The 23,854-nt window shown below is 37.9% G+C and overlaps 2 long non-coding RNA genes across 4 annotated transcripts in view; one reads left to right on the plus strand and one right to left on the minus strand.

Annotated features, from left to right (window-relative positions):
• LOC101928219 (uncharacterized) overlaps window positions 1–23,854 on the plus strand; it is a 182,425-nt gene that overhangs the window by 135,242 nt on the left and 23,329 nt on the right. Inside the window, exons 1-4 of one of the 3 annotated variants that reach the window (XR_947615.3) lie at window positions 13,569–13,642; window positions 16,473–16,704; window positions 21,494–21,708; window positions 22,959–23,213. This is a non-coding gene — a long non-coding RNA (uncharacterized LOC101928219). Of the gene's footprint in view, window positions 1–13,568; window positions 13,643–16,472; window positions 16,705–21,493; window positions 21,709–22,958; window positions 23,214–23,854 lie in introns of those variants that run through there. The other 2 variants (XR_246378.6, XR_001738162.2) reach the window with 2 other exon arrangements.
• LOC124904592 (uncharacterized) lies at window positions 7,402–13,492 on the minus strand. The gene is made up of 2 exons (XR_007067032.1): window positions 13,384–13,492; window positions 7,402–7,717 (listed from the first exon to the last, which is right to left on the minus strand). It is a non-coding gene; the product is annotated as an uncharacterized LOC124904592 (long non-coding RNA).

Consider the following 23,854-nt stretch of genomic DNA (forward strand, 5'->3'; position numbering starts at 1 on the left):
AAATTTATATCAAACCACAAAAGACCCAGAATAGCCAAGCTAGTGTGTGCAAAATTAACAAAACTGAAGGAATCATATTACCTGACTTCAAACTATACTACAGACCTATAGTCACCAAAACAGCATGATACTGGCATAAAAACATACACATAGACCGATGAAACAAGATAGAGAACCCAGAAACAAATTCATATGCCTACAGAACTCATTTTTGACAAAGGTGCCAAGAACATACACTGGGGAAAAAGATAGTCTCCAATAAATGGTGCTGGAAATACTGGATATCCATATACAGAAGAATTAAAGTAGACCCTTATGTCTTGCTATATACAAAAACCAAACGAAAATGAATTAAAGACTTAAACCTAATACTTCAGTCTATGAAGCTACTGAAAGAAAACATTGGGAAAACTCTCCAGGATATTGAACTGGGAAAATATCTCCAGGATATTGAACTCCTTGAGTAATACCCACAAGCCCAGAAAAAAAAAAAAAAAGGAAAATGGGATCACATCAAGTTACAAAGCTTCTGCATAGCAAAGGGAACAATCAAGTGAAGAGACAACCCACAGAATGGAAGAAAATATTTGCAAACCATCTGTATTAGTCCATTTTCACACTGCTGATAAAGACATACCCGAGATTGGGAAGAAAAAGTCTTAATGGACTTACAGTTCCACATGGCTGGGAGGCCTCACAATCATGGTGAAGTGAAAGGAGAAGCAAGTCACATCTTGTGCAGGGAAACTCTCATTTTTAAAACCATCAGCTCTCGTGAGACATATTCACTGTCTCAAGAACAGCACAGGAAAGCCCTGCCCCAATAATTCAATTATCTCCCACTGGGTCTGTTCCACAGCATGTGGGAATTATGGAAGCTGCAAGATGAGATTCGGGCGGGGACACAGAGAATCAAACCATATAATTCTGCCCCAGACCCTTCCAAATCTCATGTCTTCACATTTCAAAACCAATCATGCCTTCCCAACAGTCCCCCAAAGTCTTAACTCACTTCAGCATTAACTCAAAAGTCCACAGTCCAAAGTCTCATCTGAGACAAGGCAAGTCCCTTCACCTCTGAGCCTGTAAAAATCAAAAGGAAATTAGTTACTTCCTAGATACAATGGGGGCACAGGCAGTGGGTACAAGCATTTCTCCCATTCCAAATGGGATAAATTGGCCAAAACAAAGGGGCTACAGGCCCCGTGCAAGTCCAAAATCCAGCAGGGCAGTTAAATCTTAAAGCTCCAAATGATCTGCATTGACTCCATGTCTCATATCCAGGTCACGCTGAAGCAAAAGGGGGATTCCCATAGTCTTGGACAGCTCTGCCCCTGTGGCTTTGCAGGGTATAGCTCCAGTCCTGGCTGCTTTCATGGGCTGGCATTGAGTGTCTGTGGCATTTCCAGGTGCACAGTGCAAGCTGTCAGCAGATTTATCATTCTGGGGTCTGGAGGAAGGTGGCCCTCTTCTCACAGCTCCACTAAGTGGTTCACCAGTAGGGACTGTGTGTGGGGGCTCCAACCCCACATTTCCCTTCTGCACTGCTCTAGCAGAGTTTCTCCATGAGGGCCCCGCCCCTGCAGCAAACTTCTGCCTGAGCATCCAGGCATTTCCATACATCCTCTGAAATCTAGGCAGAGGTTACCAAATCTCAATTCTTGACTTCTGTGCACCCACAGGCTCAACATCACATGGAAACTGTCAAGGCTTGGGGCTTTCACCCTCTCAAGCAACAGTCCAAGCTGTACCTTGGCCCATTTTAGCTATGGCTGGAGTAAGTGAAACACAGGGTACCAAGACCCTAGGCTGCACAGAGCAGGAGTCCCGAGGCTCTGGCCAAGAAACCATTTTTCTCTCCTAGGTCTCCAAATCTGTGATGGGAGGGGCTGCCATGAAGACCTCTGACATACCCTGAAGACATTTTTCCCATTGTCTTGGTGATTAACATTTACCTTCTCATTACTTATGCAAATTTCTGCAGCCAGCTTGAATGTCTTCTCAGAAAATGGGATTTTCTTTTCTATCTCATTGTCAGGCTGCAAATTTTCTGAACTTTTATGCTCTGCTTCTCTTATAAAATCGAATGTCTTTAGCAGCACCCAAGTCACATCTTGAATGCTTTGCTGCTTAGAAATTTCTTCTGCCAGATACCCTAAATCATCTCTCTCAAGATTAAGGTTACACAAATCTCTACAGCAGGGGCAAAATGCCACCAGTTTCTTTGCTAAAGCATAACAAGAGTCAGCTTTGCTCTAGTTCCCAACAAGTTCTTCATCTCCACCTGAGACCACCTCAGCTTGTATTTCATTGTTCCACATCATTATCAGCATTTTGGGCAAAGCCATATAACAAGTCTCTAGGAAGTTCCAAACTTTCCCACATTTTCCATTCTTCTTCTGAGCTCCCCCAGACTGTTTAAACCTCTGCCTGTTACTCAGTTCCAAAGTCACTTCCACATTTTCAAGTATCTTTTCAGCAATTCCCCACTCTATTGGTATCAATTTACTGTATTAATTCATCTTCTTGCGGCTGATAAAGACATACCCAAGACTGGGAAAAAAAGGGGTTTAATTGGACTTACAGTTCCACATGACTGGGGAGGGCTCACAGTCATGGCAGAAGGCAAGAAGGAGCAAGTAGCCTCTTACCTGGATGGTGGCAGGCAAAGAGAGAGTTTGTTCAGGGAAACTCCTGTTTTTAAAACCATTAGATCTCATGAGATCTCACTATCACAAGAACAGCACAGGAATGACCTGCCCCCATGATTCAATTATCTCCCATCGGGTTTCTCTCACAACACATGGGAATTATGGGAGCTACAAGATGAGATTCGGGTGGGGAGACAGAGCCAAACCATATCACTACCAATCTGATAATGGATTAATAACCAGAATATAGAAGGAGCTCAAACAACTCTATAGGAATGCTCTAGGAATTTGTTACTATAAATTCCAATAATCCAATTAAAAATGGACAAAATATTTGAATAGACAATTCTCAAAAGAAGACATACAAGTGGCAATAGGCATATGAAAAGGTGCTCAGCAGCACTGATAATCAGAGAAATGCTAATCAAAACTACAGTGATATATAATCTCACCCTGGTTAAAATGGCTTTCATCCAAAAGACAGGCAATAAATGCTGGTGAGGATGTGGAGCAAAAGAAACCCTTGTACACTGTTGGTGGGAATGTAAATTAGTACAACCACTAAGGAGAACAGTTTGGATGTTCCTCACAAAACTAAAAATAGAGCTACCATATGATACAGCAGTCCCACTGCTGGGTATATACCCCAAAGAAACGAAATCAGTATTTTGAAGAGATATCTGCATTCCTATGTTTTTCGCAGCACTGTTGACATTAGTCAAGATTTGGAAGCAATGTAGATTTTCATCAACAGATGAATGGATAAGAAAATGTGGCACTTATACATAATAAAGTACTATTCAGCCATAAAAAAGAATGAGATCTTGTCATTTGCAACAACATGGGTGGAACTGGAGGTCATTATGTTAAGTGAAATAAGCCAGGCATAGAAAATCGAACATCATATGTTCTCATTTATTTGTGAGATGTAAAAATCAAAACAATTGAACACATGGAGACAGAGAGTAGAAGGGGTGGGGAGGGGAGGTGGCGATGGTTAGTGGTTAATAAATAAATAGAAAGAATGAATAAGGCCTAGTATTTGATAGCACAATGGGGAGACTATAGTCAAAATAATTGTCCATTTTAAAATAACTAAAAGAGTATAATTGGATTGTTTCTACTACAAAGAATATATTCTTGAGGAGATGGATACCACATTTACCCTGATGTGATTATTACATGTTGCATGCCTATATCAAGATATCACATGTACCCCCCAAACTGGGCACGGTGGCTCACACTTGTAATCCCAGCACTTTGGGGGTCTGAGGTGGGCAGATCACCTGAGGTCAGGAGTTTGAGACCAGCTTGGCTAATGTGGCAAAACCCTGTCTTTACTGAAAATACAAAAATTAGCCAGGCATGGTGGCAAACACCTGTAATCCCAGCTACTTGGGAGGCTGAGGCATGAGAATTGCTTGAACGTGGGAGGCAGAGGTTGCAGTGAGCTGAGATCATGCCACAGCACTCCTGCCTGGGTGATAGAGGGAGACTGTCTCAAAAAAAAAAAAAAAAAAAAAAAAAAAAAAACTCATGTACCCCATAACTATGTGTGTCTACTATGAATCCACAGAAATTGAAAATGAAAAAATAAAAATAAAAGTAAATTATGCCATATGCTTATGGTCAAAAATTGTATAAATGTAGAAGAGAAGCAATAACAAGAACAAATCAGCTTTTTTACCCTAACATCTATATGTGATCCATTGTTAATATTTTAATGTTTCCTTTCATACACACAATACATACACACATATATATGTATATTATGTAACTGTCATTATATATATATATATAATTCATTTATATAAAGTCATGCATCACATAATGTTTCAGTCAATGATGAATTGAATATAAACAGTGGTTCTATAAGATTATAGCAAAGCTGAAAAATTCCTATGCCTAGTGATTTGTGCTACAAATTCCTACAGTATTCAGTCCATTAACATGCTGTGCAGGTTTGTAGCCTAGGAGCGATAGGCTATACCATGTAGCCTAGGTGTGTGGTAGGCTCTAATATCCGGGTTTTTGTAAGGAAGTTATACTCCATGATGTTCGCATAATGGCAAAATCACCTAATGACACATTTCTTAAAATACATCCCCATCATTAAGGGACACATGAGTATACCACCTTTAACATAAATAGTATAAAACACAAATATTTTTTAATGTCATCATATATGCTTCAAAGACAACCTTTATGTACTTGTGTAATATTTAATCGTGTAGATTTACTATAAATTAACTTAGCCAGACATTAAGCTATTTTCAATGTTTTATTATTATAAGTAATATGATACTAAAATATGTATCATAGCTTTTTAAAAACTTTTGATTATTTTCTCATGCTATTTGTGGAAAATAAATTTTAAGTCCACAACTCGTGAATTTTTAAAGGCTCTTGGTACCTATTTCAAATTTTTTTTTTCAACAGCTTAAACCAAATTGCTTTCCCAGCAATACAGCGTAGGAGTGTGGATTTCCTTGCATTCTTGCCTACGCTGAACATTCATTTCACAAAATATTTCCACTTGGTAGATAAAAGATATAACATGGATTTGATTTGCTTTTCTTTGATTACTAATAAACTTTATTTTATAAGATTATTTGTCCTTTCTCTGTCTTTTAAAGTTATTGTTTCACTGCCTTTGCTCATTTTATTTTTTTAAGGGTCTTTTTAGTTATTTTAAACTTTTTTTTCCTATTCTGGAACCTATAGAAAAATTTTGAGCAGGGAGGTGATATATGATCAGATCTGTTTTCTTTTTCTACTTAACAGTGTAAAACATTTTGAATAAAACATATGGGGATAAATTTAAGCATATTTACATAGTACTAGTCTCACATGTATGCATTTCTCCCTTTTTAAATAAATTAAATTAAAATTTTTAAGCTGCCAAGTGGCACAGACTGGCAATATACATACTCCTTAAGTTACACAACAGTCAAGCAGCTAAAGTCACGATTTATGTATGTGTGCCCAATTAGAAAAGAGGCTGGTGCCAAGATAATCACAAATTTGCCATAAACTAAAGTTCATTACTGTTACATGAGAAAAGATATTGGAAGAACTTCTTTTATTTGTTCCAGTTGTCCTAGAAAAGAAAAAGGATTATGAGAAACATTTCATATGAAAGCACAGCTAACATTTATTAAATGCTGACTAAACATGTAACACTTAAATACATGTATTAAGTAATTTAATCTTCACAACAATCTATGAAATAGCTCCTGTCTTTCGTTCCATTTTATGGATTAAGAAACTGAGGCACAAGGCTGGGCGCGGTGGCTCACTCCTGTAATCCCAGCACTTTGGGAGGCCGAGGCAGGTGGATCACGAGGTCAGGAGATGGAAACCATCCTGGCTAACACGGTGAAACCTCTTCTGTACTAAAAATACAAATACCAAATTAGCCAGGCATGGTGGCGGGAGCCTGTAGTCCCAGCTACTCGGGAGGCTGAGGCAGGAGAATGGCGTGAATGCAGGAGGCGGAGCTTGCAGTGAGTCGAGGTCACGCCACTACACTCCAGCCTGGGCGACAGAACGAGATCCATCTCAAAAAAAAAAAAAAAAGAAAAAAAAAAAGAAACTGAGGCACAAGTTCAAGTGACTTTCCCAAGGTGATTTAATAAGTAAGTGATAGAGCTGGGTTTTGATTCGAGGCAAACTGGCCTTGGAATTTATACAACCTCCTTGCTAGTAGCCTTTTGATTTCAATTCCATTTAACCTTTCAATTCAATTTAACTGCATTTACTGAACAGCTGCATACTAGACACTGTAAACAACTTATGGAGAGAAAAGATAAATAAGGTATAGTTCCTTATTCTAAAAGTGCAGACAAATGAAGGTGACATGCCCATAAAGAGTGGCAAATAATGTGGAAAAGGCAGAGGATTTTACGGAAGCAGAAGGGAAGTGTACTACATTTAGTCTCTGAGAGATAATATCTGAGCTGGGGTCAAAGAATGAGGAGAAGTTAGTCAGGTGAAGAAAGAGAAACAACAATTTGAGTAGATGTTGACAAATGTTGTCAATACCTCTTATGAGTTAGTTTTGTGCTGAAAGCTGGAAATAAAACACTGAACAAATCAGAAAAGTTTTCTGCACTAAAAATGAGTGTATGTCAGCTACTAAATTAGAAATCAAGAGGATATAGATTGTGAACAATACTACGAAGAAAGCAAATGAGAAAACAAGGTACTAGAGAGAAAAAAACTGGGAATGGGTTTTAAGTGAGGTGCTCAGGTAAGGACTGTCTACGAGCTAGTCATGTGGAGATCCAGAGAAAACCAGATCTCCACGTGAGAGGCCACAGCAAAAGTAAAAGCTCTAACATAGAAAAGAGTTTAATATGTTCTGGAAGGTGAAAGAAAGCCAAAGAGGGTATAGCACAGTGAGCAAGAAGTGGCAGAGGATGCCTGAGATATCGGCAGAGCCAAATTTTACAGCCGCTTGTAGGTGGTAGTAAGGAGATTATATTTATCTTATGTGCATTAGAGAGTTATTGACAGGCTTTGAAGCCGGGGTCACTACATCATCTCATTTCTCATTCAGGCTGTTTGCGGAGAGAATGGATTAAGCAGGGCACAAGCAGAAGCTGAGAGATCTTCAAGGAGGCCTTGGTTGGTGGTCCAGCTGAAATATGGTGAAGAAACAGATGCCATACTAAGGAACTTGAACTTTCTTTTGCAAGTGATAGAGGCTCCTGGAGAGTATTTTAGCAGGGAAGTTACGCGACATAAATTGGGGTTTAGATAGATCACTTTATTAAAGTTATGGAGAACTGAGGGAAACAAAATCACTTGTCAGAAAATTTTTCCAGCACATTGTGGATACATAACAGAATTTATATGTGTGATTATAAATACGTATTTTTTTTCCAAATGAGGCTTTCTTTCTGGAGATACAGAAGACTCTCAAAAGACATTATAAACATGTAATTTGACTTCTTTCTCTCTTTCATGAGGACTCAGGTCTTGACAGAGTACTTCCAAAGTAGATTTTTGTCATCTCTTAGGGTTAACATCTAGATTTCTGCTTCAGAGAGGAGCTGATGTGACTGCAGCAGAGAGGAAAATGGTGAAAGAGAGCTGTTATATAATTGTCTCTTCCCTGTTTAGTGGACAAAGTGTCAGATGACTCTCTAGCAATGATCATGAGGCCCTTGACAATCTGGTCACCATTATCCTTCATTTGTAATTTGAATGCTAGGTAAAGGGGACCCCTGCCCTGGACCCCTGCTTTGGACCCCACATGTTAAATTTGTCAGATAGCATGAATGCAGTTGATGCTTTCATAAGAAAGTATTGCTTCCCAGGAGTTCTGAGCATCTGTTTTGCTTCTCTTTGCCTTCCAGTTTGTACTTCTGGAAGCACTCATATGTAGTGCTGAGCTCACTACAGTTGTACACAGCAGCCAAGGAGCATTTTTCAAGGTTAAACAATTCAACTTACTCTTATATTTGTTATATAGAGGTTTAGGTGTAACATGTATGAAGCATGATACCAATTCTTTTCATTGGCAAAGAGGTGGACACAAAAACTAGAATTGTATAAGGTTCAATTTTTGGAAAAACATTTAATAATATTATTAAAATTTAAATTTTTTGAAATTAAATAATGAAAATGCTCATTTTAATGATAGCTTTTAATTTTAATTAAATATATTTCATTAAAATACTTTTAAACATCAAATACAATTTTCAACTTTAAATATTTTTATTAAATATTTGAATATTTGGTAAAATATATTTGATAAATGATATACTAAATATTTTAACTAAATATATTTAATATATCAATATTAAATATTTGATTATGTATTTGATGAATATCAGTGAATTTTTTAATATCAAATAGTTGAATATCAACGTGATTTGTTCACCAACTACAATTTTATTTTATCTTTTAATTTTAATAGATAATTTTTAATATTTTAAAATATATTTTTATATTTTAAACTTTGTTAAGTTTAAGTAATTTTTATTTTTATATTTGTTTAGTTTGTGCTGTTGATGAAATACATCTAATATTTAATATTTTGAATATAATTATATTTTATTTGTTGATTCTGTAAGTTGCTATTAATGGAAAACAAGTACGTAAAAGCTTGTTTATAACAACACAGTGATTTTGCTGAATTGAAAGTAAGAAAATACCATAAAATAAATATATAATAATTTATGAATTGTCTTTATTTTATGACTCATACAAACATTGCTGGTCCATCCCCAGAAATGTCCAATAGTAATTAAAGTTAATTATCTGTGTTTTTTTGCCCAATTTTAGTAATATAAAGCTATACCTTTATATATATCTTCCAATTATGTTGTTATAAAGATACATTTGCAAAGTAAGAGATGGTATATTTTTTAGCTTGATTTATAATTTTTACATATTTAGACATGATACAGGGGCCTCCATGCATCCTTGTCCTAGGCATGGCAAATGTTAGAGGAGGGCCTGTTGATACTCACACACATTTCTGCTATATGGAGGCTTCACAGCTGCCTGAAAAACTCTGCTCCTTCCCTCTCTTCTGCTTAGTTCACTCCTCTTCATCATTCAGTGTTTGGCCCCAATGTCAGTATTCTCTGATCCCTGAATCTAGACTTAGTCACTCTCTCCTCAGGAGTCCCACTACACTTTTCATGTTTTCTTATGATTATCCATTTACATGGGTCCAAGCCTTCTCCTTTACTGTGAGCTCTTTGAGGCCAGGCATTCCTCATTCATCTCAGTATTATTAATGCTTGTCACAGAGCCTGGCCTATAGCCTGTGCCCTCCATAAGTGTTTGAGGGAAAAATGAACACTCACACCCACTCTCCATCTGTAGAGAAGTGCTTGTGTTCACACATTGCATTTGCTCTTGTGTGATGAGACATACTGCATATACCCAAATATATACACACTCTCCCACATATACAGATTTTTTGGAACATGCTTCCCAAATCAAACAATACATTTGTGTCATACAGACTTTTAAAAATCTGATCTTATTTCCTTTTCAAGTTGAATGCATATCTTTCTCTTCCTACTCTTTGAGCTGCTAATACTAAGTTGACATGATCATATATTCTTAAGATTGAGAGCACTTGCTTTTTTTTTTTTTGCTAATGTTATTATTGTTTTAACTACTTAAACAGTTTTTATTTTTTGCAGATCAGCTTGTTAACACTGTATAATAACAATGTAAAAAGAAATATCTTGCAGTTTGGGTCATAAGTGAAAGACATTTATTTAAAAAATCTTCAAATGAGATTATTCCAGAACTTTTCTCTACAACAATGAGTATTGATACCAAACATACTCCCCTGTGCAAAACAATTCTTTGACCAAGCTTACTTTCCTATTTTCATGCTAAACAATATTGGGGCCAGGCAAAAATAATTTAGCTTCTTGCTTCAGGAAATGCCTGCTCCTAGAAGATAAGACTGGAACCAACTAAGGAGATTACTTATCAAGACTAACAGCTTGTTCATCAAGAACTCTTTCAAGACTCTCCCCTCATTGTGCCCACCAATCCCGGTCTATTCTATCACAAAATCTGCAGAATCCCAATCAGTATGCCTTTTTGCGAGACTTGCCTTAAAATCACCCTCTACACTCTGTAAATACCCTCCCCTGAAATCCTTCTTCTCAGCTCAGACACTACTAAGACTGTATTATCATGATAAAGTTCTGCTTTACTGTGTTACATCTAATAAATTTAGTTTTTCTTGATAGACAGTTTTTCTGGTGAAGTTTTTAGGGATGAAACATTTGAAAAATCCTCTAGATTCTACCAAAATATAGTGTCTCAAGACCCTGGAATTGGATTAGCATGCTCCCCAAAGACCCCTTGAGCTTCCTGTCTACAGTGTCTCTGATTGCAGTGGATAATAGATTCCTTAGTGGGTCAGAGCTGTGATTAAAAAAAAAAATTCAGCTCCCAAATATTTCCTGGGAATAAGAAATCTTTGTTTCTGAATTCTTTGATTATCTGATCAGAAGTGAAATCTTTTTTCCTTTGAGAAAAGCTGTCTTGTGACTAAAAACACTGCTGTTTGTCTTTTGGTTTGTCTGTCCTCAACACTTTCTGCTGAATGTATGTAAGAAGATGATCAAAAAAAGAAGATGGGTGTAGGTTTGAGGAATTCATCTCTTGAGTAGTTCAAAAGTTCTCCTTATGTCAGGCTTCTTATAAGGCAAACTTTACCTTGGGTTTCCTATTAAACTCTTATGAGACCTTTCCTCAGTCTTGTCTTATTTTATCCATGAGCATTTGGGTCAAGGCAAGTTTTCTACTCCAAATCTTCCATTTGAAATTGGCGGTGGCTAACTATTAGGTTAGGGTGTGATGGGTAGTTTTATGTGTTAGTTTGATTGAGCTAAGAAATGCCCAGATAGTTGATAAGACATATTTCTGGGTTTGTATATGAGGGTGTTTCTGGAAGGGATTAACATTTGCATCAGTAGACTGAGTAAAGGAGATCACTCTCATCAGTGTGGGTGGGTCTCATCCAATTAGTTGAGGGCCTGAATAGAACAAAAAGGCAGAAGAAGGACAAATTCTCTCTGTTTTTGAGCTGAGACATCCATCTTCTCTTGATCCAGTACATCAGCACTACTGGTTCTTGGGCCTTCAGACTCTAATAACGTATTCTATTGGCCCCTGGCTCTCAGAGCCTCAAACTCAGATTTACTATTGGCTCTCCAGTTTCTCAGGGATTTGGATTTGGGCTGGAACTACACCACCAGCTTTCTGAGTCTTCTAGCTAGCAGAGCAGAGATTATGGGATTTCTCAGCCTCCATCATTGCATGAACCAATTCCTCATAATACATCTCCCTATATGTATTTACGTATATTCTGTAGGTTCTGTTTCTCTGGAAATTTAATACAAGGAACAGTGGGCATAAGCAAATTATCCAGAATACCATGGCTTTCATGAGGCTGTCTCAGTCCAAGTCCATGCTCCAATGCAGCTGGGGAGATCCCAGTGTGAAAGGCTCATGGGACCTCAGGGGAGAATTATCTTTTATGTAAAGGTCCTTGAGGCCCTGGACCTCAGAAGAGTGTTGGGAAATTTGCTTCTATCATGTATTTTCACTATAGTTTGTTTGTTTGTACATTTAAGTGGAATAATTTTACCAAGGATAATTTAGAATTACAGTGGCTATTTTGACGAGCATTTAATTTGAACAAAACTATTCATTTGAGAGATATTTTAGAAAAAGAATGGTCTGCAATTTTCATTGACATAAGAACCTAGCAAAAGAAATTTAGTTTCTCAAATTGATGCTTTCAAAAGATTCCTTAGCCATGGCAAATGAGAAATATAAAAACCTCAAAACTATTTTTCTTAGACCCTCCTGAACTTCCATCTGAATATAACTGCCTTTATTCCACTCTTCCTCCTTCCTAGGCTCCTACATTACCCTTATTCCCACCCCTTCCGTTGACTCATCTCCTTTCCCTTCTAGCCAAGAAGAAACTCCCAAATCTCAAATGTTTTTTAGAGTTAAACCCACTTCAGAACAGATCAAGTTCTATTGTGGTTGACTTTAAGCCCTGATCTTTGTCTGAATTGAAAGCGATTGTTAGCTACTTTCTAAAGCATACACACAAAATAGAGACAGAAATTTACAACAGAATTTGGAGTTGTTCTATTAGTAGATTATTTAGAGATCTCAGATTTACATCATTTGGCTCATATATTAATAGGAATCTCATAGGCAAAAAAAGAGGAATAAAAATTGAATGGAAAAGTCAGAATGGGGAGATTCTGAGTGACCTAATAGACCTTGAATTGTAGGGAAGATTAGAGGGGTTAGAAAAGCTGTAGATGTAGAGCAAGAGCTGTAAGATGCCATCCTCAAAGTCTGTTCTGTAAAAATAGATTGTACTGTAATCTTGTTCTACAGGCAAAGAAAGGATGAATCTACTGGTGACTTCAGGAGTAGGCTTTTTAACACCTTTATACAGCGTTCAGGAATAGATCCAGGAGCAGATGTGACCCTAACTCTATCTTCAGTTTCTTTGAACAACTTTAAGCCAGAACCAGGGGATTTAATATGAAAGCAAAAACAGGAATGGGAAGTAGCTCTGTTGCCTGGTCTCTAGTCATTCACTCAACATCTTGAAATAGCCTTAAAACACAATTGGAATAAGGTGTAGTATGAATTGGTGGTCTCACACATAAAGAAACTGCACGTTCCCTACTCTATCACAAGAACATGGGTAGAGAGTTATTAATAAAGACACCTGTAAACAACGTAAGCAGAAAAAAAATGATAAAACAATTGCACTGTGGTAGTTAGAAACTGAAGGAAAATATTGAAGTGGGTAGACACTGAAAATGCTCCAAAGGGAAATTCAGCATTTATTTTCCCATTTTTACCCTCAAATTTACAAGTAGAAATTTCTGCAAATGTTAAAGGACAACCTGCCAGATTGTTTATCGATACCACAAACCCTGCCACCAGTACACAACCTTTCTCTTAGAATCAAGAAACTAGTAATCTCTAGGTATTTCTTCATCTTAGTCTATAACCACCACCCTTCGACTTTTAACCAAATAACATTTTTTCCCCTTCTCTGTGATACCACATCTGTGAACTTAACAGGGAAGGATCTAGTGGGCAAACGAAATGTTTAGATTAAGTGTTCCACTGTTGACCTCTTGAAATCCTGAGGATTCTCCTAGTCATAATCAGATAATAACTAATTGAGATATTGACATACTGGTTTCTTTGCTTCTTAAATAAGTCCAATATGAAAATCTTCTCCATATATAAGACTACTTGTGAAAAAAAATTCCACTTATTTTGGCAAAATTATTGCTGCCGGCTATGTTCTGGATGTTTGTGTCCCTCTCAGATTCATATGTTGAATTCTAATCACCAAGGTGATGGCATCAGAAGGTGGGCCTTTGGGACATGACTGTGCTCTGATAAAAGAGGCTCTTAGACCTGCCTTAACCTTTCTCCCACGGGAGAACACGGTGAGATGGTGCCTTCTATGCACCAGGAAACAGGCCCTCGCCAGACACTAAATTTGTCAGCACCTTGATTTTGGATTTCCCAGTCTCCTGAACTGGAGAAATGATTTTCTATAGTTTATCAGCTACATATTTTAGGGTTTTTTGCTATGGCATCCCAAAAGGACTAAGACAGTGCCCAAAGCATCAGGGTTCAGATCGATCCACACAAATCTTGATACAAGTTTGCACAATACTGTTTAAAGCCAGAAACTCAAAAGGCTAAAACCAGTAGTTAAAAGACTACTAGAGAAAAGTCTCTTTATACCTAGTACCATTCTTGTAATTTTCCTTACCTCCCAGTTAACGAACGCTAAAGAAAAGGACATAGATTCATCCAGGACTTCAAGGCCATAAACAAAATAATCATTCTCTCTTCTCTTCCTTGTGGTTGTGAACCCATTTATGTGTTACTTGAAGATACATTTTTTTTTTCTTTTTTGAAGTTATAGATCTGTGTTCTGCCATCTTTACTTTCTTTAGCTGTTTGCCTCTTCCTGGGGAGTTGAAAATATACCTGGGCTCTCTCATTTTTGGCAAAGATGAGTTAGCCCTCCATCCTCCTCACAACTAAAAAAACATGGATGTAACAAAACAAACAGATTGTAAAATGCAGAACGAGAGTAGATTGCCTAGGGACCTCTTGACTTGAGGAATGACATGGCAGCTGATCATGTGGTTTTTATTGTTGCCTCCCATATATTTCCTAAAGGGAGCTTCAAAGATCTCCATCCCAGAGCCACCAACAGGTTTGTTGTCCATAGCTAAAGGACTGAGAAAAAGGTAGCCTAACAACAGAAAACTATTTTGGCAATACCTGCCATATGCCAAATAAACACCAATAAATACATTGCATTCCTCCCTGCAGTTTCAGTGGAACTGAACAGAAAGCTGGTGTCCCTTGACATCCTCCTACCCTGTGGAAGTAAGTTCAAGTTGTGATATGCAGATTCCTCTGCTGTCAGCAGACAAAGTGGAGACCTAATCTATCCCTTTCCAGGTAGAAGTCCTACTTGCAGGTAGTCCTTCTATCTGTCTGGTGGAAGCAGACTGTGCTCTGATATTACCCCCAAGCCAACAGGGTCGGATGGTAAGCTGAGACTTCACACCCACCCAGCAACAATGAGACATAATGAGGAGGTGCAAGGAGATAGTCACCACTATACTTCACCATCCACCCTCAGGATTCATGGAGCCCAGCCAGTAGCTGAGCCTTCATGTTCTCCTGGCATCCATGAGACTATACGAGGTGGTATGAGTTGAGGCTAGTCTACCAGCACTCCACTGTCACCTCACTTTTGGTGTCACAGGAGCCCTATGGAGCCCAAACTTCCACACCTACCTGGAGGCAACGAGGCCAAACAGGGCAGTATGAGGCAGAGCTAGTTGGCACTCTGGTTCCTCTGCCTACCCCAGTGTCAGTGGGTCCCAGTGGGGAGCTGAGCCTATAGTGTTCAAGAACATTGAACAATGCAATGCACATGAAGTAGGCTGATCAATATTCTTCTCTCCCCATCCTGTGCAGAGCTGAGCATACACTTCCACCTGGATCAGTAAAGAAAAATGAGGTGATGGATGGTGGGCTAAAAGTTGGCATTTTTTCCCCAAAATGGAAGAACCCAGGTATTTTTTTGACTCCCCAGGGAGTGACAAACAGCTAAAGGCAATAAAGATGGCAGAACACAAATACACATACATTGTTGTAATTTCATGCCAGTAACTTTTGTTGTGCCCTGGAAGAAGTGTGGTGCTTTAATAAATCCTGAAATACGTGGCATTGATGTTGTGATTAGGTGGCAGGCAGAAGCCTGGCAAGGCTCAAGGAGGTTGCCAGCAAGGGCACAAAGACCTGAAGGTTGTGGCAGAAACTGTCATTGCAGTAACATGGAAAAGAGGAAACACAGCCAATAAACTCAATGGTATAGTAAGGAGATTTCCACGCAGAGTGCTCAAGAAACTGTGGATTTTTCTAGCTGCTTATAATAAAATGTAGGAAGACAGAAAATAAACTATTCAGTCTTAAAGTTGGATTTAAAGGAAAAGTAGAGGCTCCAGATATTCTTTCTAGCCAGCAGAAGGTTCTCAAAGTAAGAAATATCCTATGGCAAAGATCAAATTCAGGGTGTTACCTAGAAAAAATAAAGCTGAAAATATGGCTAGTAAAATCCCTTATTAAAATCTTAGAAACACTTAAATCAGCACCTCAAAGACTCTTTCAAGAAGACCAAATGTCTTCTAATGATAGTATATGTATGCTTCACACATTCTCTCCAATAAGTAATAGGAGAATTCCAAGGTCATTGTTCTACAACCACTCTGAAGAAGACCCAGGGAGAGAACCTATTCTGAAAAGATTTGTGGGTGTGGTTTTGTTTAATAGTGTGGAATATAAATCAACTTGTAAGAAGCCCAAAAAGTCTTTAAAAGAATTATAACAGCTTGGAGAGAAAAGGATAGGGACATTACAAATTAAAAAGTAGCCTTTGGGCTCTTGAATGTCTATAAGTAAGAAGCAGGTTGAGAAAATTACTTAACTGCAAACATAAGCTATTTCTGTGGGAAGGAAAGCAGACCAGAGGGCAGAGCCAAGAGATGACAGAGTGATTCCCAGGGAGTTATTACTTGTCCTTAGTCAAGGAACTGGCCTCATGTGCCCTGCTTGTCTCTAAATTGTGTGGATCAATTATTGTGTACCTTCTACCTGTCCCTGTTTTTGAATAGGAATTACGATGCTTGTTCAGCTAATGTACATTTGGCGTGTGTAGAGCTAATAATTTGTCTTTCTTGTTTATAGGTTTTTAGATCAAAAAGAATTGTACTCAAGGAATTGAAGCTATGGAGCCTCTGCCACATCTGGACCTGATTTTGATGACAAGATCCTGTACCTCAAGCCCGAGACTAATTTCATAATTTGATGAATCTTTTTGGAGAGTCATGGGAGGAATGTAAACAATTTGTGGCCAAAGGAGAATTATGGTAGTTTGAAGATGTGGATACAAATTATTTGACATTCTTCTCATAGAAAGGTGATGCTTATGTCTCCACCCCTTGTAAACAAGCTGGCTTGTGACTTTGACCTATAGTGTATGGTGGGAGTGATGCTGTGGAACTGGAATTACTAGCATCAGGAAACCTACTTGCTACAGACCCAACAACGTGCAATGATCAGATCCCAATTTAGACTGTAAAAAGACCAATATCAGAGACTAAGAACTGAGATCAAACATACCTTCTTCCTGTACCAAACAGTTCTGGGGCCAAATATTGTCTACTGTCTCTATGCTAACTAGTACTGAAACCAGGCAAAATTAACTACTTAGCCGCTTGTTCCAGGAAATACCTGCTCTCGGAAGAAATAAGTTAACCCACCTGTATTAGTCTGTTTTCTGCTGCCATAACAGAACATTACAGACTAGATAATTACTTTGAAAAGTTTATTTGACCCACAGTTCTGGAAGCTAGGAAATCCAAGAGGATGGCACTGGTGTCTGGTGAGGGTCATGTTATAGTGGAGGAGTGGAGGATGGAAGCAAACACATGAGACAGAGAGAGAAATCAGGCCAGACTTACTTCTCTAACAAACCCCATCTCAATAACTAACTCATTCCTATGATAATAGCATTAATTATCTCATGAAAGCCCTCATAACCTAATTACCTCTTAAAGACCCCACATCAATAAAATATCAACATGAGTTTTGGAGGGGACGTATATTTAAATAATAGCACCAACTAAAGAGCTTACTTACCTTGCTCATCAAGACTTTCTTCAAGACTTTCATCGTGTTGTTTCTATCTACCCCAAACTATTATTTCATACCCTTTGTTCCATCCCAACTAATTTTAGATGCTACGGTCTGAATGTTGAAATTCATGTATTGAAACCTAGTCACCAATTTATGGTATTAGGAGATTGTCCTTTGGGAGGTGATTGGGCCACAAGGGCTTCACTCTCATTAATGGAATTAGTGTTCTTCTAAAAGAGGCTGCAGAGAGCTGCGTTTTCTCCTCCATTGTGTGTGAAGGCAGTGAGAATTTGTTTGCAATGAATCAGGAAATGGGCCCTCACCAGACACCAGCACTTTGATCTTAGATTTTCCAACCTACAGAACTGTGAGAAATGAATTTCTGTGGTTTATACCACCAACTTAGGGTATTTTGTTATAGCAGCCAGAACAGATGAAGGAACTCCACCTTGCCTTAAAATGACTCATTTCAGGCCCCGAAATCCCATAAACACTTTCCCTTGATGTCTTCCTTTTGAGATACTATTAATATTCTGTCAAGGTAGTAGTCTGCTTTAATATAATCAGCTAGTTTTTTTTTTTAACCAATAGGTTTTTCTGGTGGGTTTGTGTGTGTGTGTGTGTGTGTGTGTAGCTAATAGTCAACATCACCTTATCAAGAACAACTGTCTGAATATTAACTTACTTAGGACGTTTGTCTAGGGAGATGTTGATGTGTGGATGAGTTTAATCTTATTAATGCTCCACATGGGTATTCTAAGGCTGAGTCAAGGCATTTTTCTAACATAACATGACAGCATTAAATGATCCATTTCTAGTGTGTTTTTATTCCACACCACACATTTGTAGACCTAGGACTACAAACATTATCTATGTCATTATAATCACATTTTTTGGTCCTTTCTAACTCATTATTCACAGGATGTTCCTGGAACCAGGACCTATATTTAACACTAATACTGTCATAAAAATAATCCACTATTGCAATTTACATGTTCACAAAATACTACTCTTTTGTAAACAAAGTAAATTTTCTAACTGTAATTGAACATCAAATTCAAGGCCAGATTCCCTAAGGTCAATTCAATTACAATTTACACAGTTAATGGAGTAACTTAAAGCACACATACATTTACACACATTCATACATACTTCTTTCAAAACTGTACTCAGAAAAACACTTTCCTGCTTACCACTGAAGGCATATATTGCTACTGGCATCTAGGCATTTTTGTTTGGGTAATCTACCTGAGTAAGGCAAGGCTTTTAATGGATGAGAATAAATGACTGTGTCAAGCTAAAAGTTTCAAGATCTTTCAAGTTTCATAAAAATGAATCTTTAAGTGTTCTCAGAATGCAAAATTGGAGCTGCAATTGGATATCAAATCAGTTGCAAAAAGTGTGCAGCAGCTGTTGCTCAAGTTGAGACTCAGCTTGCAGTTTTGCAAAGAAGTTTCAGGAATAGTTTGTTTGGCCTTGTCCCATCTTCTGAAATAATCTGATCAGGCATGAATTTCTTAAAAGGCTGCCAATTTGGTAGTGAGAATTTGCTCATACTTCTCCTGAACTTTACCTTCACAGCCTCTTAAGAGATGCTCACATATTAGTCCAACTCACGGGAGCATAAAGACGGCTGGTCCCTCTTCATCAGGTTTGGAGGAATCTGATGAATTTTAGGTGCCATTATTGCTGAGAAGGGAATCATATTCTTTTAAATACAAACTTCACAGTGATTAAAAACAAAAATTATAAACAAGCAACTCCTAATTGTTTCCATTTCTGATAATGGTTTTATTCCTCTTTTCTAATCTGAAAAAATGCACTCCAGGGTGGGTTGAATGGTGTCACTTGCTGCCAGCAGGGTTGGTTGCCGTGACATGGTAGCTGTGGGTGGGGTCCAAGGTGACAAGAGAGACTTCCACACCTAGCTGAATCACTTCCACTCCAAGGTCCACGTAATCCACATCATCCCATGTCCTGTTTCTGAGGGTCAGAGACTCAGTGGACATTCCTGACCCACTGCTCCTCAGTGGGGCTCAATATCCCGATTTTATAATTTTTTAAAAAAAAGAAAACAAAAATAAAACCAAAAATAAACAATCACTCGTTCTCTACTTACATGCAGTGACTGACTCTCATTTAGCTTGATTTGCCCAATTTATTCATATCAATTAATTGGATAATGAGTCACCAACAGTCTTTAGGTTTTACAGAACCATTATCCTCATTTCCTAATTTACTTCCAGGGAAATGATATATGTAAACATTTTCTCAAAAACGGGGGAGTGTATCCATTTTTCAATATATACAAATCATTATTTTTTCATTCCAACTCCTATCTCAAAATATGCAAATGTTTCCTGAAGTTCTCTTAGGATATTTGTCTATTTATAGCTCCCCTTCCCCTCTATTTAACACTGTTTTGAGGTGCTGTTTCTAAAATGCAAATCTGACTCCTCCAGTCACACTTCCAGGTTTAAAAGTCTTCGCAGCTTTCTATCACCTTTAAAACAGGATCCCAAGTGTCCTCCCTGCTCTGGGCCCTGACCAGGTCTGTCCACCACCCGGCACGCATCTTTAAACTTGCATTTTTCTGACTTGCATTTTCTTCCCTCACCCCCTGGCTCATTCACAAACTGCTCCCATTGTTTACATTGCTTTTTACCATGGGTTCTCCTGGCACATGTTTATCTAGTGGCTGGTTCATTCTTCTCTGGGGCCCCAAATCTTCTTAGCAGTGGTTCCAGATTACCTCTTCCTCAGTGTTTCTCGGTAGTTTAGGTGTCCCTCTTCTGAGGTCCTCTCTCAGAATTGCCACGCTGTGTGGCCATCACTGACTTAGTTTTCCATCTCTCCTTCCTCACAAGAAGCTCTTTCAAGACAGGAACCGCCTTTTCTTTGTGAATGCTCAGAATTCCACTAGTGCCAGGCACAAAGGGAGCTCTCAGCTTCTCTGTTGAGTGAATGAAATGAATGCATGAGGGGTTCTAAAGAACTGTGTAGCCTTTCACAAGCAATGTCCTCCATTACAGAGGGGGTAGGACTGCCTTTCTACTCTTGGGGAAAGCTCTGTGCCATCAAACTTCAGATATTTCAAAGTCAGTGCTTTTAGGAGAAAATATTCCATTGGAGCCTAGAAAGCTGCAAGAGGTAACAGGCATGCAAGAGAAAGGGTCCCGTTCATCCTGGATCATGTCTGGCTCTTGGTAAAAAGACACAAGATGACTGTCTTTTTTATTCTTTTTTAGTGAATCTTTTTTTATTCTTTTTTAGTGAATCTTTATTAGTTTAGCAAATAATTTTTGAGCACTATGTGCCTGGCACTGGGGATTCAATAACAAACAAAATATATGTGATCTGTCTTCACCAAGTTGAAATGGATCATGAGTGAAAAACATTAAATTCTCAAGCAAATGACTGCTAAGTTCCAGGCAATTGGGGTAAAGGTTGTGAAGAAGATGCAGAGTATCCTGAGAAGCTGCAAATTTTACTTTTTGTAGATACATGAGCCACATTTCTTCATTCCAAGAAAATATTTTATTAATATGTTCAACCTGATCTGTTGGGACAGTAAAGACTTCTCCAAGAATGGCCTATGAATTAATTTAAGGATGGTGGGTGGGCAAAATGAATTTAGGAACAGCATGCACAGAAGCCCTGCAAAAGAGAATGGAAACAAGGATATTATCCCTGGAGTGTGGTGAATAAGGAGTAAAGTCAGAGGGGGTAGGGCTTGGTGATGCCCCTTCGTAATCACTTGCTGACTCACTGAACAAGTCTTGATCACTCAAGCCCTTGCTGCGTTTGCAATAAAGTCTTGCAGATTTAATCCATAGACAAATGGAAAGCTTCTGAAGGTTTTCAGCAGAGGAGTTGCAAGTTTGCATTATGCTCATTTAAAAGTATTGTTCTGGCTATTGTTTGGAGTGAAGGAGCAGAGAAGGTGGGTAGGTCATTAAGGCAGCAAATTTATCCAGGCAGTCTCTGAACGTGCCTGTGATTGAGTGTGTATGGTAGGACTTTCTGTTCAAGTTTCCTCAGTGATGTGTAATATGGTTCTTGCTCTCAAGGTAACTCCATAGCTGGGAGCCAAGTCTCGAAGCCCCATGAGGGGAAGTGGATACATCTCAGAATTGGGTTTCCTGATACACACGACTGCATCCTTCATCTGCCAGGCCCTGGCATTGTTTACTGGAGAAGATGTCATAGGAAATTGGGCTATGTCATTGAGCCACTGGAGTCACACATGAACAGCCATTTGGAGATTCTGGAATTGATGGTTCAGGTGGAGTACCCCTTATCTGAAATGCTTGGGAACAGAAGCTTTTCGGATTTGGGATTTTTTCATATTTTGAAATTTTTGCATCCTATACTTACAGGTTGAGCATCCCTAATCTGAAAATCCAAAATTGGAATTGCTTCAGTGAGCATTTCCTTTGAGTATCATGGCAGTGCTCAGAAAGTTTCAGATTTTAGAGCATTTTGGATTTTGAATTTTTGGATTAGGGATGCTTAACCTGAACCTACCATTTAAAAGTGCTTAATAATCAAGTCAAATCCTATGTTGGATAATGAGACTTGGCTTAAATAGCCCTTCCTATATTTAACTGTCTATCTTGTTCTGCTGAAACCTTGGGAATTGAGTGGGAAGAGGTATCATGGACCCCTGTTGCCTGTAAACTCCTGAAAGAAGAAAAATATGTTTTTTAACTCCTGAATGTCAGGGTTCTTATTCATCTTTGTGTCCTCTGTCACCTAGAAAAGCCTGGAAGTTAGTAGGTCTTCAATTAATAGAAGGCCTTATAGCATAATTGTTAAAAAGCTGAGGCTTTATGGGCAAATGAGAGTTTAAGTCCTGAATCCACTAATTCTCAACCGTTTCTTGGGCAAGTTAATTAACCTTCCTAAGCCTCAAGTTTTTTATCAGCAAGATAATGATTAAATGCCAAATTCTTAGTTAAATGCCTAGCAAATATAAAGGACCAAATGTATTTTAGTTCTTATTATTAATGTTGATTGAATGCAAAAATACAATCATGATGAAACAAACCATTTTACAAAATTGGGGATGAAGAAAAGAGCAAGATGTGCTACATTTATGAGCTCATCATATTTAATAGGCTTTTCAGTGTCTGCAGTTGTTCTGTTTCTGGGATAAGATTTGGTGTATTTTATATATTAATTCACATAATAATGGATCTTTTTGTGGTAATCTGCATATAACCTGGATGAAAACTCAAATATGTTTCTACAGCCTGCCAAAGTCTCCCTGAGAAGCCAAACTTCTCTTGCTTAGATCCAACTATGGGGTATTGGTATGGCCATGGCTTTGGAATAACGGTGTGATCCAACTGAACTTGGTCACAGTGGTGTAATAAAGTAGCAAAGGCATTTGGTTAGCATAGAGGAAGTGGGGGTTGGGGGAGGCACATAGCTCATGCTACTGGTCTGGGGACATGTCTGGCTGAAATGCTTGTTGGAAGTATTTCAAAGTCAAATACAAATAGTTTTACATAAGTTATTCTTATTTTCTAGTTTAGGTAAACTGTATGATGTAGTGAAACAATGTTGCCTGGAATTCCTGAAGAGAAGACCAATCACTAAAATTTGAGACTACTGCACAATTCTGATATCTGAATCATTTCCATAGATAGATTTTGGTTAAAGCACCTGTGTATATTCTGTCATTATTAATTTGTGTCTGCTTTTTTACGGTTTCTAAAATCATGTTTTTAAATTTTACAAACTCAGGTAAATAAAATAAAACCACCCATAATCCTATCACCTTAACACAGCCTTGGCCAATAGTTTTTTTGTTATATATATTTTTAAGTCTTTTTTTCTATTCACTCTTTTAATTTACCTGTAGCCATTGTGTACATAAAAATTTATATCTTCCTATCTTCTTGCTTAGCATTTATTACAAATAGTTTCTCACATTACATGATCTCAGCTATTGTAAGCATCATTTTATTATTTATTATTCTTATAAGATTATAACCTATATCTACTAAAATGCACATGGTGAAAAATAGTTGTAAATTAAAGTTATATCTTATACAAGCTCAAATTCTAAAGCCAGTATACAAGTCAAAAATTACTTCTGGGTGAATTATTCTTGGAATTTCTTTAAACAACTATAAAATGAGCATACAAAACCCTCACTTCTTCTCTGTCAATGACAAACATTGACAGAAAAACTATAACCCTCAATTCTCAATTTCTTCTCAAAAATGTTGACAGAGTCATACTACTTATTTATCTGGTTATGGAAATATTTTAAGTTTCGTTCATAGGAGAAAATTTAAAACCATGCACATATGTTTTTCACAAATTTCCAACAAGCAATGTTGGTTATAGCATGTGTAATTTCATCTACTGCCAGAAGCAAGAAACCATTGAGAGCAATGGCTTGCATAGTTGTCAGTATT

The sequence above is a fragment of the Homo sapiens genome, chromosome 1, assembly GCF_000001405.40.
Source record: "Homo sapiens chromosome 1, GRCh38.p14 Primary Assembly".
NCBI lineage: Eukaryota > Metazoa > Chordata > Mammalia > Primates > Hominidae > Homo > Homo sapiens.